Source organism: Homo sapiens, chromosome 11 (assembly GCF_000001405.40).
Source record: "Homo sapiens chromosome 11, GRCh38.p14 Primary Assembly".
In the NCBI taxonomy this organism is placed as follows: Eukaryota; Metazoa; Chordata; class Mammalia; order Primates; family Hominidae; genus Homo; species Homo sapiens.
In genome coordinates this window covers 57,596,692-57,616,153 of record NC_000011.10, presented here as the reverse complement: position 1 = coordinate 57,616,153, position 19,462 = coordinate 57,596,692, and the positions used below count along the sequence as shown (strand labels likewise).

General features: G+C 47.2%; 1 protein-coding gene across 2 annotated transcripts; it reads right to left on the bottom strand.

Moving 5' to 3' along the window:
• SERPING1 (serpin family G member 1) lies at nucleotides 1,306–18,469 on the bottom strand. Of its 2 annotated transcripts, NM_000062.3 has the most exons (8): nucleotides 18,432–18,469; nucleotides 17,833–17,905; nucleotides 15,777–16,275; nucleotides 13,985–14,119; nucleotides 9,941–10,144; nucleotides 9,607–9,746; nucleotides 4,218–4,437; nucleotides 1,306–1,826 (listed from the first exon to the last, which is right to left on the bottom strand). In NM_000062.3, the coding sequence occupies exons 2-8, from the start codon at nucleotides 17,881–17,883 to the stop codon at nucleotides 1,573–1,575; spliced, it is 1,503 nt and encodes a 500-aa protein (NP_000053.2). In that variant the 5' UTR covers nucleotides 17,884–17,905; nucleotides 18,432–18,469; the 3' UTR covers nucleotides 1,306–1,572. The 2 variants fall into 2 exon arrangements, with proteins under 2 accessions (NP_000053.2, NP_001027466.1); NM_001032295.2 differs by lacking the exon at nucleotides 18,432–18,469 and having other exon boundaries at nucleotides 17,833–17,943.

Genomic DNA, 19,462 nt, shown 5'->3' with positions numbered 1-19,462 from the left:
GGAGGTGGAGGTTGAGTAAGCCAAGATTGCACCACTGCACTCCAGCCTGGCCGACAAAGCAAGACTCCATCTCGGAAAAAAAAAAAAAAAGAAAACCTGTCTCTACTAAAAATACAAAATTAGCCAGGTGTGGTAGTGCATGCTTGTAATCCCAGCTACTTGGGAGGCTGAGGCAGGAGAATCACTTGAACCCAGGAGGCAGAGGTTACAGTGAGCCGAGATTGTGCTATTATACTCAAGCCTTGGCAACAAAAGAGAAACTTTGTCTCAAAAAAAAAAGAGTCATAAGAGGTGCTATTAAATCTCAGTTTCATCATTTCCTAACTACAGGACTTTGAACAAGACTTAGCCTCTCTGAATTTACCATATAAATTTATTGTGAAGATTAAATGCCTGCAAAACTCTTAGCAGACTGCCTATGTTCCCAACGTTAGCTACTGTCATTATTGTTGTCAGAGTTGTTGCAGACAAATAAGCAAGATAGGGGCTGTGAGAAATGGACTGCATGAATAGTCCCCAATTAACGTCTCTTTGCCCTGTCACTTTGTAGTGCTTTTCCAGTCTAACTCTAGGTTTGGTCCTGTGATTTGCTTTGGCTGCAGGACAATGGTAAACAAAAAGAGACTGGCTGTTTGACTCTTTTCCATTACAGACTAGCCTGTTGGAAGGACATACAAGACATGTAGAAGAGCCAAGTTGTCCTGGTGTCATGGCTGAGGCCACAGAAGACCAGTCATCCCCTAACCAACCCAACAACTATACCTTACAGATGTATGAATGAGCCCAGGGAAGATCAGCCAGGTTCAGCCCAGATCAGCAAAACACCTAGTCAACTCTGAAACTTACATAAAATAACAAAGGGTTGCTGTTTGAAGCCACTAAGTTTAACGTGACTTACTATACAGCAATAGCTGGCTGATACAGGAACCATGGGCGCTCTTGTCCTTTAGTATTGAAGCAGCTGATATTCAAAGGCAAAGGAGAGGTATGGTGTGCCTACAATCCCAGCACTTCGGGAGGCTGTGTTAGGATGATTGCTTGAGCCCAGGAGTTGGAGACCAGCCTAGGCAACATAGTAAGACCCTGTCTTTACAAAAAATTTAAAAATTAGCTGGGCATGGTGGCAAGCCCATGTGGTCCCACCTACATAGGAGGCTGAGATGGGAGGATTGTTTGAGCTCAGGAGGTTAAGGCTGCAGTGAACCATGATCTCACCACTGTACTCTAGCCTGGGTGACAGATTGAGACCCTGCCTAAAAAAAATAAAAAATAAAAAATAAAAAAACAAAGGCAAAGCAGAGAAAGTCATGGTCTGTCAGGTTTTATTTATAGAGTCTGGTGAACTTGAACTAGAGAAAGCTGCAAAAAGTGGTTTGGAGAGCATGGCAGGGCCATGGAGAAGGGCTAATAGAAGCAGGTCCCTTGCCCAGACCCTCAGGGAGCCCTTTTGGTGGATAGCGGACACCTGAGGCAGGAGGTGGCAGGGGCCAAGTCCAGGCAGGCAGCAGCAGGGCTGCAACTGAGAGCTGAGGCTGGAGAGGTAGCGCTCGCCCTAACCTGATCCTGCAGGTCTCAGGCCCTGGGGTCATATACTCGCCCCATGAAGACAGGGAACTTGTGCTGCTGGTCCCAGAGCACGAAGAGGAAGGGCTGCTGCACTTCAAAGACCAGCAGGGTGCGGGCCACAGAGATGGCGGAGGCTGCAGCCGCCTCCACCCCAGTCTCTGTCAGTTCCAGCACTGTCTGGTGCTGCATCGCAGAAACCTGAAGATCTGGGTCCTCTGTCAGCCCACACAGGTTAAGGTCATAAGAAAAATCGAAGAATTCTAGGGCAAAACCAGAGAAAAACAGAGTCAGAAGCCAGCATGATACCCTCAGCTGATGGAGACCTTTGTCCTGAATTCTCTGGGTTCATCCTGAGTCCCAGTGCTCTCTTCCTCTTCCCTTGTTTGCCAGATTACATACTGTACCCTCTGGCAGTTCGTGGGATCCTCTATTAGTGGGCCCAACACTGCCACTCTCTCTCAAGGTGAGAGGCCTTGCCCCTCATCCCTAAAACAACCCTGAAAAATGATGTCATTGCCTCCTTATCTCCCAGGACCTTGGAAGTGAGGTAATAGATCAGAGATAGGTCATATATGAAAAAATGAGGTTATATGCAATGCCATGATGCTGTGAAATAATGGGAAAATATGCTATAGGAGCATCTTTAGCTCCAAATATTAGACCATCTAATATTTGGTCTCCGATCCCAGTTCCTGACACAGAGCTACTAGATCCCTTGGAATTTCCTGGGTCATAGGAATGCCTTTTGTGCTAATGAGGCTACTCCTGCTGGCTCCTGGATTGGGGCTGGTCACCAGAAAGACCAAGTGTGATTAGAAGCTTGGAACTTTCAGCCCCTCTCTCCATCCTCTGGGGAGAAGAGAGGAGCTGGAGATTGGGTAATAATCAATCATGCCTACATGATGACTTCTCCTAAAGTACAGGGTTCTGAGAGTTTCTGGTTGGTGAACACATACATGTGTCAGGAAGGTAGCAAACAGAACTCCACAGGATAGATGCTGCTGGGCCCAGGACCCTTCCAGATTTTGCCCTATGTATCTCTTCAACTGGCTGTTCATCTGTATCCTTTACTTAATCCTTTACATAATAAACCAGTAAATGTAAGTGTCTCCTGAGTTTTGTCAGCTATTCTAGCAAATGATGAAACCCTAGCAGGGAGTTGTGGGAATCTCCAAATTATAGCTGGTTGGTCTGATGCACAGGTGACAACCCAGTCTTGTAACTGACATTGGAAACGGGGGGAAATTTGCTGGGGCGGAGCACTTAAACTGCACGGGATCTGATGTTATTTCCAGGTAGAGTGTTAGAATTGGATTCAATTGTAGGACACCCAGTTGGTGTCCCCAGATAACTGGAGAATTGCTTAGAAAACACTCCCACACCTGTTTGGTGGCCAGAAGTGTTGAATGAAAATAAAAAAGAGGTTTTCTTCCTATACAGATGACATATACAAGGAAATGGAATCATGTGTTAGGCGGTCAAATTCTCTAACAAGAAATGAAGTGACAGGGCTGGACATGAGATCAAAGGTTAGAAAATGAGGCTGGGCACAGTGGCTCACACCTGTAATCCCAGCACTTTGGGAAGCCGAGGTGGGTGGATCACTTGAGCCCAGGAGTTCAAGACCAGCTTCACCAACATGGTGAAACCCCATCTCTACTAAAAATACAAAAAAATTAGCTGGGCGTGGTGGTAGGTGCCTGTAATCCCAGCTACTTGGGAGGCTGAGGTAGGAGAATCACTTGAACCCAGGAGGCGGAGGTTGCAGTGACCCAAGATCATGCCACTGCGCTCCAGCCTGGGTGACAGAGTGAGGCTCCGTCTCAAAAACAAACAAACAAAAAAACAAAGGTTAGAAAATGGAGTCTCTGGGCTGGGCGCGGTGACTCATGCCTGTAATCCCAGCACTTTGGGAGGCCGAGGCAGGTGGATCACAAGGTCCGGAGATTGTGACCATCCTGGTTAACACAGTGAAACCCCGTCTCTACTAAAAATACAAAAACAAAATTAGCCAGGCGTGGTGGCGGGCACCTGTAGTCCCAGCTACTCGGGAGGCTGAGGCGAGAGAATGGCATGGCGTGAATCTGGGAGGCGGATCTTGCAGTGAGCAGAGATCGCACCACTGCACTCCAGCCTGTCCTGGGTGACAGAGCAAGACTCCGTCTCAAAAAAAAAAAAAAAAAAGAAAATGGAGTCTCTGTTGCCTCTCGTAAACTCAGAAGCCTCCAGATCTGCACTTCCAGATAGCTTCTTGCATATTCCACGGGGTGGCTGACTGTTTTGAAATGTGTCTGGGGAAGGAGCATCCATAATTCACCTCGGTTACCTGTCCCACTGTTCCACTGCCTATGTCACAAGGAACCATAGAAAAAACTCAGGAGAGCTGGAGACCTGGGTCGGTGTTCTGGTTTGCCTCTGACTAGCTCAAGGGTAAATCATGGAATCTCTGGGTAAGTCACATAAAGCTTCTGAGCCTCCATTTCCACAATGATCCAATGGGATAATAGCACCTACCCCTCTAACTTGCAGGGTTGCAGGACAAACTGAGATTATGGATGTAAAAAATACTCTAGAGAATGCTAACTACATCTTAGGGATCCCCCCTTTCTCCTCTGATGGCCTGGGAGTAACCCTAAGCTGCCAGAGCTCACCCAATTTCTCCATGATTGAGAGCATATCCTGGCTGGTCGTCACTTTGATGCGGGGTAGTGTTAGGAGAGTGGGCTGGAACTTGGACATCTCCAGTTTCTCCATGATGGCCTTGAAAACAGAAGGGCTGAGAGCCTGTTCCATGTCTTCAAGACGATGTTTCAGGTTCTGGGGTACCAGGATCACCAAACTCAGATTGTGGGAGAGCTGCAGCTGCCCCACCTAGAAAATAAGAGATGCATCTTAACAGTCTTCCTACCGCATCTCTCTCCTGGCCCCACCCTCTGTCACAATGCTGTCCTGCAGTCTGCTCCCACAGTCTGTATTTCAACAAGCATCAGTCAGACCTAAGCTTCCAGGCTTTACCATGAAATGGGGATACCAGCTGGGTGAACAGTGCTGATCCAACTCTGTGCTGGGGAGAGGTAGAGGAAGGAGCATGAGTTTCTGATTATACCCTGACTCCACCACTGACGAGCTATGTAATATGGGCAAGTGATTTGATTTCTCTGAGCGCTGTTCCCTTCCTTCCTAATGTGTTGTGCATATAGTATATAGCATGCACATTGAACCGCCAGAGTTATCAGGTCAGCCTCTGTAAAAACTATTGATGGCTCTTCACTGCCTATGAGAATAAGTACAAATCTTAGTATGGCATTCAAGATTGTTCACAGCCTACCTTTCCACTTTGCTATTAGAAGGACTTTTGGTCATGCACGGTGGCTCACACCTGTAATCCCAGCACTTTGGGAGGCCGAGGTGGGCGGATCACGAGGTCAAGAGATTGAGACCATCCTGGCCACCATGATGAAACCCCACCTCTACTAAAAATACAAAAATTAGCTGGGTGGTGGCACGTGCCTGTAATCCCAGCTACTCAGGAGGCTGAGGCAGGAGAATTGCTTGAACCCGGGAGGTGGAGGCTGCAGTGAGCCGAGATCATGCCACTGCACTCCAGCCTGGTGACAGAGCGAGACTCCATCTCAAAAAGAGAAAAAAAAAAGAAGAAGGACTTTCAACTGGTGACCAGACAAAAGTATGTAAGAAGTGCAGGGCCCCTGGGTTTAATACAGGGGTTGTCAACTCGGAGTGAATTTGCCTCTCAGTGGACATTTGGTAATGTCTGGAGACATTTTGGTTGTCATAGCTGGCAGGGGGCAAGGAGGATGTGCACACAGTGCTACTGGCTTCTAGTGAGTAGAAGCTAAGGAAGATGCTAAATTCTACAATGCACAGGACAAAGAATTATCTGACCCAATATGTCAATAGTGCCAAGGCTGAGAAACCCTAGTCTAATAGGATATGAGACTGTCATTAAATGGTATTATGATTGAGGCTGAAGGAACAAAAAGAATCTAGAAGAATGCAGAATTCAACTGGGCAATAAAGAAATTAACTGAAAGCAATCAATTGTCGGAACCTGAATAGCCCAGAAGAAGTAGATAGTAAGCCAATTTCGACTGAAAAGAGTGGACATGGGGTCCCTGTTGATGTAGCACTCAAGTTGGATATACTCATTTGAGTAGCATGTGCCCTTCAAGTCCTATGTATGAACCTTGAATCTCTGAAGAAAAATTTACCATGCTGTGGTCTTGAATTTTCAAGCCAGTAACCTCGGTGTACCTGAGCCGGTAAATCTCACCCCCTTCCTTGGGTAAATATCCTTAAGTGCCAGGAAGATTTAGAATTTAGTATAAGAATGACAAAAGAAACCAACTTCATCATGTTAAAACCAGGTGTTAAGTTCAGGGTAACCTGTATGTTTGTTATTTAAAATAGTGATTGTAATTTTTAAGAGACTCTGACATGCTAGTTTTATGCTTTTAAGCAAAGTTGTAGGATAATTTCATTAAATGTGAGAATGATATTGGAATGTTGGCTAGAAGTTAATTCACCCTTCAAATTTAATTTTCAGTTTACAAGTGAGCTTTAGGTGTTAGGATGATATGGCCAAGCACAGTCGTAATTACGACCTGTCAGGTATTAGATGTGTTTAAAAAGAAAATCAGCTGGGTGAGGTGGCTCATGCCTGGAATCTCAGCTACTTAAGAGGCTAGGGTGGGAGGACTGCTTCATCCCAAGGAGCTTGAGGTTACAGTAAGTGAGGATTGTGTCACTGTACTCCAGACTGGGTGATAGAGTAAGACCCTGTCTGGGAAAACTACATAAATAAATAAAAGAAAAAAGAAAATCGAGCATATTAAATTTTTAAAGGGAGCTTAAAATGCTTATGGGAATACTAATTATGTTTGTAGATAGAAAAAATGGTTTAAAGGAGTTTAATCTGTTCAATATGGCAATTAATTCAAGAACAAATGAGAGTGTTTTTATATAAAAATCACCCTATTTTTTTTTTTCTGAGACAAGGTCTCACTCTGTCGCTCAGGCTGGAATGCAGTGGCATGATCTCGGCTCACTGCAACCTTCGCCTCCCGGGTTCAAGCGATTCTTCTGTCCCAGCCTCACAAGTATCTGGGATTACAGGCGTGCACCATCACACCCGGCTTATTTTTTGTATTTTTAATGGAGATGGGGTTTCACAATGTTGGCCAAGCTGGTCTCGAACTCCTGACCTCAGGTGATTCACCTGCCTCGGCCTCCCAAAGTGCTGGGATTACAGGCGTGAGCCACTGTACCCAGCCTATTCTTTTTTTGTGTTTTGAGACAGAGTCTTGCTGTGTTGCCCAGGTTGGAGTGCAGTGGCGCGATTTTGGCTCACTGTAACCTCTGCCTCCCAGGTTCAAGTGATTCTGTGCCTTAGCATCCTGAGTAGCTGGGATTACAGACATGTGCCACCATGCCTGGCTAATTTTTGTATTTTTAGTAGAGACAGAATTCCACCATGTTGGCCAGGCTGGTCTCAAACTCTTAGCTTCAAGTGATCCACCTGCCTCAGCCTCCTAAAGTGCTGGGATTATAGGCATGAGCCACTGCGCCCAGCCAAATCACCCTACTCTTAATGTAGCAAGTTCAGCTTAAAATTAAAAGGCATAAGTAAAATTTTAATTTTGCATTTGTTAGTACATTAAATTAATTATCTGTTTAAAACCTAAGGAACTCTAAATAGTGGCTTTTGTGCACAAAACTACTCCTCCTCCTTTGGCTTAAAAAAAAAAAAAAAACTCAGGCTGGGTGCAGTGGCTCACGCCTGTAATGCCAGCACTTTAGGAGGCCGAAGACGGACGAGCACTTGAGGTCAGGAGTTCATGACCAGCCTGGCCAACATGGTGAAACCCCATCTCTACTAAAAATACAAAAATTAGCTGGGAGTGGTGGCAGGCACCTATAATCCCAGCTACTAGGGAGGCTAAGGCAGGAGAATCGCTTGAACCTGGGAGGCAGAGGTTACAGAGAGCTGGGATTGTGCCACTGCACTCCGGCCTGGGCAACAGAATGAGACTTTATCTCAAAAGAAAAACAAACAAACAAACAAAACTCATATTGGCTTGGGGAGATAGAAATTACTCTTCATATTATACCTGCTTTGTATTTGAATATTTATTATTGATATTATATGTCCAGAATGCTCACCTTAACCTATCACCTCACCTCAATGGTTTCAACAGTCTACTCCCAAGGGATTTTTACAATGATTTTTGGTTTAGAGTTTTGTGTGAAACTTTAAAAACATTTTTAGAGAGGAAATACTTGTTCTTATAATTCGAATAGTTACATTTAAACCTAACTTGTTAAGTTCTTAATTCCTACTTTCCACCTAACATCTATGGCTTTGATTAAATAGCCATTCCAATTGATTTGAAAAAAATCTCATATTTATACCTCCCCCAACGTATCTTGAATTTGAACAATGCTCTGGACCTGTCACATATATTCACTCTTCTGTGCCTTATACAGGCTGTCCTGGTTCTGCTAAATGAGTCATGAATGGTCAAATACATTAGATAGGGATGGATAGATGGGTGGATAAGTCCATGAGTGGATAAATAACTGAGCAAAGAATGGTCAAAAATAACCTCCTCAGCTGGGCGCTGTGGCTCATGCCTGTAATCCCAGCCCTTTGGGAGGCTGAGGGTGTGGATCACTTGAGGTCAGGAGTTCGAGACCAGCTTGGCTAACATGGTGAAACCCCGTCTCTACTAAAAATACAAAAATTAGCCAGGTGTGGTGGCGGGCTCCTGTAGTCCCAGCTACTTGGGAGGCTGAGGCAGGAGAACTGCTTGAACTCGGGAGGCAGAGATTGCAGTGAGCTGAGATCATGTCAATGCACTGCAGCTTGAGTGACAGAGTGAGACCCTGTCTCGAAAAAAACCCTCCTCTATGAAGTCTTCCAGCCACTTTTACTGAGTAGCTCTCTTTGGCACCCTCTATTTCATTCATTCATTTATTCAGCAAACACTGAATGAGCACCTATGATAGGAGGCATTGTTCTAGGCACTACAGATACAGAAGGAAACAAGACAGGTTCCTGTATTCAAGTAGAGAGACAGTATCTTAGGGAGACAGACAATGTCCTAGGCAAATAAGCAAATAAATGACATAATTTCAGATGGTGATGAGTGTAATGAATATAATAAAACAGGAGTGATATTACAGGGTGAGGAGGAGGCTGCTTTAATGGGGAGAAGACTTCTCCACCAAGGTGACCTCTGAGCTGACACCCAAATGACAAGAAGGAACAAGCTATGTGAGGATCTGAGTGAAGAGGGATACAGGCAGAAACAAAAGCTAAGGAAAGCTCCCAATGTGGAACCAAGCCTAGCATGTTCCAAGAACAGAGCCTTTGTTTCTCAGCCAGGTATTGAGACATTGTCTCTTACTGTTTTCTGTCTCATAGGTCTGTGTTTTGCCATCCTAAAAAGGTGGAAATATCTGGTAACTGGGGATGAGATAGCTTGCCAGTTGGGATCCTCTGGGCTCCATATTCTGTCTTCTCTCCCTCCCTACTCATCAAACTAAATTGTTCAATTTCTGCTAATGCACTTAAGCCATTTAACTCATGTGCACACATGCACTTACCACATATATGCATATACAAGGATATACTTATACACGTCTACACATGTATATGTATGCTGTACACAGGTACCCACATACACACAGGACTTGCTAAGCCACCAGAGTCTTCTGATGAGTTGACTGGAAAAAGAAACAGATGTGTAGAATAGGAACACGACTCACATTTTGCCATTCAATATAGTAGAGATGCATGAAGAAACTTGAGAATCCTGTTTCCAGCCTAAAATATACAATGTCTGCCTTGGCCAAGGCTAGAGAAAGGAGAAGGAGAAAAGATAGGGTGGAAATACAGATGGAAGGAGTAGAAGTGATGAATTTGTAAGCATGTACCCCAAAATGATGGGACTACAGCAGAAAAAAAGTCAGGAGACTCAAGTAGGTTTCAAACAGGAGAAGGAAAGGTTAAGAACTTACCTTGGCTTTCAAAGTTTGGTCAATGAAATGGGCCACAGGGTACTTCTTGCTATTCATCATGGGCACTTTTATAACTGAGTTTTTGAAGTGAAAGGGTTCCATTCTGGTTTTCTTGGGATCAAATGTTGTCTTCCACTTGGCTAGAGGGAAGAGGTGGGAGGGTTGCTCTAATGCAGGTAGGAAAAGGATGAAGAGGAGCTAAAAGCCTTGTTAGCAAAGAGTAGTGCAGGGACATTGAGATCCGATTGTAGAACTTGGGGTTAAGTGGGCTTTGAAGCCAGGAGGGGAAGAAGGACCCAGAATGGGAAGACTAACTGGCTAAGGGCACCCTTACCACTCAGGTAGATAGCATTGAGGAGGACAAGGCGGGTATCGGAGGGCAGACTGTCTAGCAGCCGGCTGATCTTGTTGTTGGTGTTCTTGGCCACCCAGGTGTTGATGAGCTCCAAGTTGGCGTCACTGTTGTTGCTTAGGACTCTGGGGCTGCTGCTGTACAGGGTCCGAGAGGCATTCACAAAGGTGTCCCTTATGGCCAGGTCTGGGGGTATGTTGAGAAAGGGAGGCATGAGTCCTGAACACGTCGTTCTTTCCATGAGCACGATTTGAGAGTGAGCATGCTTTCTATGGTTCTATCTGCTCACTTAGTGAATACGGCATGGTGGAGCGCGGTCCAGCCCACTCCTCTTACAGATGTGGCAAATAAGGCCCAAAGAAGGTAAACCCAGAACCAAGAACAAGAGAAGTAGCCCCAAGCCTCCGCTGCCTCAGCTTGCTATGTGACTATGGCTCGGCAAGATAATCTTTTTGAGATATTAAATTCCATTTGCCTAGATTTTCCCTCTTTTCTTCCCTTAATTTTGGCACGGAATAGACTCTGCTTCCTGGCCTTGGTGGAAGTTTGTGACAAAACTTCCTGGCTTTTGCTCTGCAAAAGCCTTCAGTCCACTGAAAAAAAAAAAAAAAAAGCACTTGAAAGATAATTTTTCTAGGACTAAGTAGATTAAAGATATTTTCCCCAGCTGGGCATGGTGGCTCACACCTGTAATCGCAGCACTTTGGGAGGCCAAGGTGGGTGGATCACTGGAGGCCAGGAGTTCAAGACCAGCCTGTAATCCCAGCTATTCGGGAGGCTGAGGCAGGAGAATCACTTGAATCTGGGAGACGGAGGTTGCAGTGAGCTGAGATGGTGCCACTGCATTCCAGCCTGGGCGACAGAGCGAGATTCTGTCTCAAAAAAAAAAAAAAGATATTTTCCCAGGCTTTGCTGATGCCTAAGTACAACATAAGACCAAGAACCTTGCTTGGCACAGCTCCAGTGTGCAGCTAGATGGGGATAGAAGCCCTAATATTGAATGCTGTTACGTATTTTTCACCAACCTAGCAAGACAGCGGATAAAGCTGACTTACAGCTTTGTAAGTAATAAATAAATGCAACATTTCTTGAACACCTCTGAGCCATGTTTTTCCCACATCTGAAAGAGGGTGTTTTTCAGATGATGGGGTGATAGGTGAGTTTTTAAAATTTAAATTAAATTTTTTTTTTTTTAGAGACAGGGTCCTACTCTGTTACCCAACCTAGAGTACAGAGGCATAAACATAGCTCACTCTAACTTCGAATTCCTTGGCTCAAGCAATCCTCCCGTCTCAGTCCTTCATAGCTGGAACTACAGACACGTACCACACCCGGATAATTTTTAAAATTTTTTGTAGAGATGAGGTCTGTCTATGTTGCCCAGAGGCTAGTCTCGAAATTCTAGCCTCAAGCAATCCTCCTACCTCAGCCTCTCAGTGTTGGAATTACAGGCACACTGAGCCAGACCTAAGTATTGTTTTTACAGTTTAAAAAAAAACAAAAAACAAAAAAAACAGCTTAAAAAAAAGTTTTCCTTTTTTTTTTAAAAAGGGAGGTGGGTAGATTAGTTCAATGGTTATCAAACATTTTAAAGCAGCAGAACTGCTTTCAAACAAAGGCATGTCTGAAGCCCACAATATAAAATGGACCCTGGCTGAGGCTGGGTGGGGAGCTCAGAGCCCAGCTGGTCCGTTTCCCTCTCACAGGAAGTGGTGAACCCTTCCCCACTGCTCAGGCTCCCCACACCCCACTCCCACCATGACTCCAGAAACAGCTTTGCAAAGTCCTAGGGCTCCGAGGAACAAAGTCTGAAAACAACTACATTGGATCGTTTTGTAAGTTTATTATTAGTATTATCATTATTACCTACTTAATAACATAATACATGTAAATGATAACAAATTCACATAACACAAAAATTAAAAGAATTAGAGTCCCAAGACTCCTTTGACCCAAAAATGAGCAAAAAAATTTTTTGTCTATTTTATGTCTATAGCTCTCTAGCCCTCTAGCCCTATATATTAATGAATGCATATGGGTATTCTTCTTTTTTTTTTTTTTTTTGAGACAGAGTCTCGGTCTGTCACCCAGGCTGGAATGCAGTGGTGCGATCTCAGCTGACTGCAACCTCTGTCTCCCAGGTTGAAGTTATTCTCCTGCTGGGACTACAGGCGCGTGCCACCACACCTGGCTAATTTTTGTATTTTTAACAGAGACAGGGTTTCCTGGTGTTGGCCAGGCTGGTCTTGAACTCCTGACCTCAAGTGATCCGCCCACCTCAGCCTCCCAAAGTGCTGGGATTACAGGTGTGAGACACCGCGCCTGGCCCGCCCGCCCCATTTTTTTTTTTTTTTTTTGAGATGGTGTCTCGCTCTGTTGCCCAGGCTGGAGTGCAGTGGCGCAATCTCGGCTCACTGCAAGCTCCGCCTCCCGGGTTCATGCCATTCTCCTGCCTCAGCCTCCCAAGTAGTTGGGACCACAGGCGCCTGCCACCATGCCCGGCTAAGTTTTGTATTTTTTTGGCAGAGACAGGGTTTCATCTTGTTAGCCAGGATGGTCTTGATCTTCTGACCTCGTGGTCCGCCCGCCTCAGCCTCCCAAAGTGCTGGGATTACAGGCATGAGCCACCGCGCCCGGCCTTTTTTTTTTGAGACAGAGTCTTGCTCTGTCATCCAGGCTGGAGTGCAGTGGCGCGATCTCGGCTCACTGCAGCCTCTGCCTCCCAGGTTCAAGCGATTCTCCTGCCTCAGCCTCCTGAGTAGCTGGGATTACAGGTGCACACCACCATGCCAGGGTAATTTCTTGTATTTTCAGTAGAGACGGAGTTTCACTATGTTAGTTAGCCAGACTGGTCTCGAACTCCTGACCTTGTGAATCGCCTGCCTCGGCCTGCCAAAGTGTTGCGATTACAGGCGTGAGTCACCGCGCCTGGCCTTTTTTCTTTCTTCCTTTTTTTTTTTTTGAGACAGAGTTTTGCTGTTTCACTCAGGCTGGAGTGAAGTGGCATGATCTCAGCTCACTGCAACCTTCACTCTCTTGGGTTCAAGCGATTCTCCTGCCTCAGCCTCCTGAGTAGTTGGGATTATAGGCGCCTGCCACCATGCCAGGCTAATTTTTGTGTTTTTAATAGAGACAGGGTTTTGCCATGTTGGCCAGGCTGGTCTTGAACTCCTGACCTCAGGTGTTCCACCCACCTCAGCCTCCCAAAGTGCTGGGATTACAGGTGTGAGCCACCATGCCCAGCCGTACCCCCAACTTTTTTTTTTTTAATGGAGACAGGTTTCGCCATGCTGCCCAGGCTGGTCTTGAAGGCCTTGGCCTCCCAAAGTCCTAGCATACCTTCAACTCCTTGAACTTACAGATGAGAGCCACCATGCCCGGCCCGGCTTTCTCCTTCTTTGTTTTTTTTTTTGTTTTTGTTTTGTTTTTGTTTTTTTTTTTGAGACGGAGTCTTGCTCTGTCGCCCAGGCTGGAGTGCAGTGGCGTCATCTCGGCTCACTGCAACCTCCGCCTCCCAGGTTCAAGCAATTCTCCTGCCTCAGCCTCCTGAATAGCTGGGATTACAGGTGCCCGCCACCATGCCCAGCTAATTTTTGTATTTTTAGTAGAGACAGGGTTTCACCATGTTGGTCAGGCTGGTCTCGAACCCCTGACCTCGTGATCCACCTGCCTCGGCCTCCCAAAGTGCTGGGATTACAGGTGTGAGCCACCACGCCCAGCCTGGCTTTCTGCTTCTTAATCTTTTGAGGTAGATAGCATCATCACTATTTTACTGTACCTGCCCGGTTATTTTTATTCTAAAGCAGTTGATGAATGCCAGAGACTTGTCTAAGGTCTCATTAGAAGAACAGTCTAGTTCCTGGAGTGACCTAATGCTCCTGCCAAGGTCTTCACCTGCTCTGCAGTCCATCCCTGATACTGTAGCTCCAACATTCCCTCTGTCCTTTCTTTCCCCAGCGCTGGGTCCCCCTTCAGAGTCCTCTCAGGACCCTCCTCTGCAGACACTGCCCATTCCTGGGCACTCACCTGGGCTGTGGAAGATCTGAGAGACTGAGGTGACACCTTTGGTCGTGAAGCCCTTCAGGGCCTGGTGGACACAGGTGAAGTCCTTGGGGTAAGAGAGGATGCTCTCCAGGTTTGTTTTGGTGTTCTCCCCAGCCCCTGCAACAAAGGGCAGAGATGAAAGATACTTGCAGGATGAGTCGGGGGCCTTCCTTGGGAATGAGGGTTGGGGACCAGGCTGGAATGGAGGGTATTCCCTGCTTTGGAGGGGATCACAGATCATCTGAGCTGGAAGTGTTCTCTCAATCTCTCTTTTTTTTTTTTTTTTTTTTTTTTTTGAGACAGAGTCTTGCTTTGTTGCCCAGGCTGGAATGCAGTGGTGCAATCTCAGCTCACTTGAATCTCCAGGTTCAAGCAATCCTCCCACCTCTGCCTCCCAAGTAGCTGGGACAATAAGCATGCATCACTATGCCTGGCTAATTTTTGCATTTTTAGTAGAGATGGGGTTTCAACATGTTGGCCAGGCTGGTCTTGAACTCCTGCCTTGGCCTCCCAAAGTGCCAGGATTATAGGTGTGAGTCACCGTGCCCAGCCAAGAAAGATTCTGTAGCCTTTTTAGAATTCTCTCTGGGGAGTAATAGCTCTGTCCCCACTGCTTGTAGTAATTTGTTTGTGCCATTCCTAGGGTAATTACCAAATGGGACTTGACAGTAATCCCTCAAGATGGCAGAGGATTTACATTTTTTTGACCTCCCACTAAGTCAGACACTAGGCTGCTTCTTTTTTTTTTTTGAGACAGAGTCTTGCTCAGTCTTCCCAGGCTGGAGTGCAGTGGCATGATTTCGGCTCACTGCAACCTCTGCCTCCCGTGTTCAAGTGATTCTCCTGCCTCAGCCTCCTGAGTAGCTGGGGTTACAGGTGTGCACCACCATGCCTAGCTAATTTCTTTTTATTTTTAGTAGAGACGGGGTTTCACCATGTTAGTCAGGCTGGTCTCGAACTCCTGACCTCGTGATCTGCCCGCCTCGGCCTCCTAAAATGCTGGGATTACAGGTGTGAACCACCGCATCCGGCCTGGCTTTCTGCTTCTTAATCTTTTGAGGTAGATAGCATCATCACTATTTTACACAAGAGGACTCAAGGCTCAGAGAGGTTAAAGTGATCTGCCCAAGGTCACAGAGCTAGAAGGCAGTACTAACCACATCTACTCTAGGTCTATCTCTGATAATTTTTTTTTTTTTTTGAGACAGAGTCTCGCTCTGTCACCCAGACTGTAGTGCAATGGTGCGGTCTCGGCTCACTGCAACCTCCACCTCCTGGGTTCAAGCGATTCTCCTGCCTCAGCTGCCCAAGTAGCTGGGATTACAGGCATGCACCACCACTCCCTGATAATTTTTGTATTTTTAGTAGAGACAGGGTTTCACCATGTTGGCCAGGCTGGTCTTGAACTCCTGACCTCAGGTGATCCACCCGCCTTGGCCTCCCAAAGTGCTGGGATTACAGGCGTGAGCCACTGCGCCTAATTTCATCTTTCTTATCACCTCTCCTTGCCATGAAACATGGTTAGTGGCTGCGACCTTATTTTATATGTTCTTGTATAGTCACAGAGTTTTACAAGCAATCGTGCCTATTACATCACTGTGAAATGATGGAATGTTCAAGAATGAAAAGATACATCCCTCTACCCCACCCCCAATATATAATAGCCCATTTTTACAGCTTCTTCCCAGAGGCATGGCTTTGTAAGTGTCTGGATTGGTGACTCTTATGGGAGTGTCCAACAAATGACCTGGAGAGAATTCAAGCAGGGTCTTACCGAGCAGGACCTGGGTAAGGAGGCTGGCGATGCTGAATGGGGAAAAGGCCATGTTGGTCTCCACCTTCTTCATTGCTGAGAAGGCGTGGTAGAGCTTCAGGGAGAAATCTACCAAAGCATCCCCCAACACGGCCTCTGTTGAATGACTCTCCAAGTCAGAGCAGAGAGTAACAGGTCCTGGGCAGAAGGACCCAGTAGTGGGCTGGGTAGGAGAATCTGTTGGGAGCTGGGTAGTTGGTTGGGTGGGTTGGATGGTGGGTTGGGTGGTGGGCTCTGTGGTGGGTTGTGTGGTGGGTTCATCAGTGGTATTAGCTGTTATTTTGGTGGCTGAATTGGTTGTTGAGTTGGTTGTCGGCAAGCTGGAAACCTCCAGGATGGGTTCAACGAATAGCATCTTGGAGATAACTGTTGTTGCGACCTTCCCTTCGCCTCTGTCTTGCAAACTCTCTGGATCCTGGGAGCTGGAGCTGGTAGCATTTGGATTTGAGGAGGCTCTATCCTGTGGTTCAAGAAACTGAGTTTCATTTTTTTCTTACTACGAGGCACAGTCCTCTAAAATACTCAAAGCAGGAAGAGAAGGTGTGGATGTGGAAAATGTCCTGTACAAGAGAGTAATTTCTGACAGTGCGGCAGATGAGCAATCTGTCTTAGAACCACCACCACTAATTCCTCAGAGAAGGGGCAATACAGGGTGAGGGTGGGGGTGCACAGGAATGTGCTCTGCAGAAGATGAGGGATAGTCAGGGACTCTGTAATCTCTGACCAATTACTGCCCTGTAGGAAGTTGTTTTCCAAACAGTGAAGCTGAGTGTTGTCATTTATCTATGTTCTTGCAATTTCCTGTAAATATCTACCTGTTTGACTCACTTGCTTGGCTAGTACAGACATTTGAACTTGTGCTCCTTGATTTAGAACAGTAAATTTTTAAACTGTGGGTTGCAACCCATTAGTGGGTGTGGAAAAACAGTACACATTAGGAAGGGAACGAAGAAAGGGAAGGAGGAAAGAAGGGAGGCAGGAAGGGAGGGAGAGAGAAGTAGTATAGGCCAGCGGCTCTGAAACAATTTTGACTCCCAGGGGATATTTGGCAATGTCCAGAGACATTTTTGGTTGTCACAGGGAGACAGCAGGGAAGATGCTACCGGAATCTAGTGCGTAGAGGCTAGAGATATACTGCAAAACATCCTAAAATGCGCAGGGTAGCCCCTCAGCAATGAATTATCCAGCCCCAATGTCAACAGATCCTCCACTGAGAAACCACGCATTAGCTCCATTTCACAGGTAGAGAAACTCATACCGACACATATTAACTAGTCCAGGGTCTCACAGAAATGGGAGAAACAGCTAGGGGTCAAAACAAGGTCTCTGATTCCAAACTCCCTGCTCATAACTACATCATCTGCTGAGTATGTGATACCAACTTGCGCGTGCACACACACACACACGCACATACACACACCCCTACCTACCTTTCTCCTGGGATCCTGCACTTCTTAGCCTTATTTCTAGTCCATGACCTCCCAGACCACTGGGACCTCTCACTGCTATTGACCCCCACCCAGACCCACGTATGTTTGCTACCATTCTTCCCTGTCTTCACAGGCCCTAGCCTGGGACCACCGTCTGTGTCACAGCAGCCAAACCTCTCCTCCCCACAGCTCTTTTCTACAACAAACTCTTGCTTTGATATCACAAAATGCTTCCCATCTCCTTGCCCTATGTGATCCTCCTGCCAAGCCTGCTTGGTGGACAGGGTGGGATCTGTTTATTCAACATTTTATAAATCAGGAGGAGTAGGCTGAGAAAAGTGACGTCCTCAGGACCACGCTGCGCAGCTCCTACATGGCCCGCCAAGATTAGAACTTGCATCTGTCTGAGTCCTGAGCTCTTTCCACCATCTACGAGTGCGTGTGCAAGGATCACACTCAATGATCCCAAGAGGAGCTCTCCTCATTCCCCGGAGCCTGAAGGGTTAATCCTCAGCCACCGCCCGCACCCCGCACCATCCCGCCTCCCGTCTCCACCCCCGTCCCCCATCCCACAAGGGACCACATACCCCAGCCAGCAGCAGCAGCAGGAGGGTCAGCAGGGTCAGCCTGGAGGCCATCTGGGCGGCGACGTCAGCGGACCTGCGGAGCCAGCCAGCCTCGGAGCCAGCTCCCACCCTGGGAGCCCAGGGGCCCCCACCCCGCCCGGGGCCCGCCCCCATTCCGTCTCAGGCCCCAGTCCCTCTTAGCGAATTCCCTCCTCCTCCCTCCTGGGGCCACCTTCTCCCTGGCTCCTCCCTCTGTTTTGTTTTCCCCAAACCGCTTCCCTTTCCCGGCACCGGCTGGCCCTTCCTCTCCCCGTGGGCCCGGGTCTCTGTCCATCTGTTCAGTCGGAGGGGAGGTGGTGGGAGGGGGAGGGGGTCCTGCTTTAACCAAACAATGAGGCCAGAGGCGTGGGGGAGGGGAGGTCCTGGGGGGCTGAGCACAACAGGCCTGAGGCGGGAGGGGCTGGGGTAGGAGGAGGCAGAAGTCCCAGGTGGAAGCAAGCCTATAGAGACCCCCGAGATCAAGGCGGGCAGGAAGGCGGGGGTGAGGAGACCCCCTCCCTAGACCTCTTCACTCCATGCTTTCCACCCTACTCCCCACCCCTGCCCAGCACCAAACCTACTCCAAACTTCTGGTCACCAGGCAGCTCCAGTGCAGACTGAGTAGAGAGTCCCCCAGGGTCAGGGAGGGTGGGGTGCGGGGGGGGCAGTCTTAGCTATTGGCTGGCCCGGGACACTGCCCAGTTACAAATTAAGGAAGATTGATCGCTGGTGTGAGTTCCTGTAAATCAGGATGGGACGGAATGGGACTGACCGCTTGGTCTTCTTTGTGGGCCAGGCCAGGAATTTAGCCCAAATCCCCTGGTAGGTGGGGTGAACGGGGAAGCTTGGGTGCAGTTCTCAGCTTTACACAACCAAAGCTTCCCCCGCGTCTTCATGAGTAACAATAAAAACAGCATGTACACAAAATGTGCTCCGCAGTTTTTAAAGGAATGAACTTTTTGGAAATTGCTCACCTCCGTTATTCCTCAAAGTAACCCTTTGTGCCCCATTGTACCCATTTGATAGTTAAGATACTGAGCCTTAGAGCAGTGAAATGTCGGGCCCTGATCACCCTCATTTGGAGAAGTATTCTGAAGCCTAATCCCTGCTCCCATCTCCCCTGTGCCCTGTAGGTGTTCTGCCATTTTTGCTCGTAGAGACCCATAATCAGTAGTTCTTTGTATAACAGACAACGGATGTGAGGCACCCAGCTCAACAAGCATTCAACCTAATTAAAAAAAAAAAAAAAAAAAAAGCTAGCCGGGCACGGTGGCTCACGCCTGTAATCCCAGCACTTTGGGAGGCCGAGGTGGGTGGATCACTTGAGGTCAGGAGTTTGAGACCACTCTGGCCAATATGGGGAAACCCCGTTTCCGCTAAAAGTACAAAAATTAGCTGGGCAGTGCAGGCGCGCACATGTAGTCCCAGCTACTAGGGAGGCTGAGGCACAATCACTTGAATCTGGGAGGCAGAGGTTGCAGTGAGCTGAAATTGCACCACTGCACTCCAGCCTGGGTGACAGAGCAAGACTGTCTCAAAAAACAAATAACTAACTAAATAAATATTTAAAAACTTGAAAGCTGGGGTGTATGTGTTTGCGACTAGGGCTCCA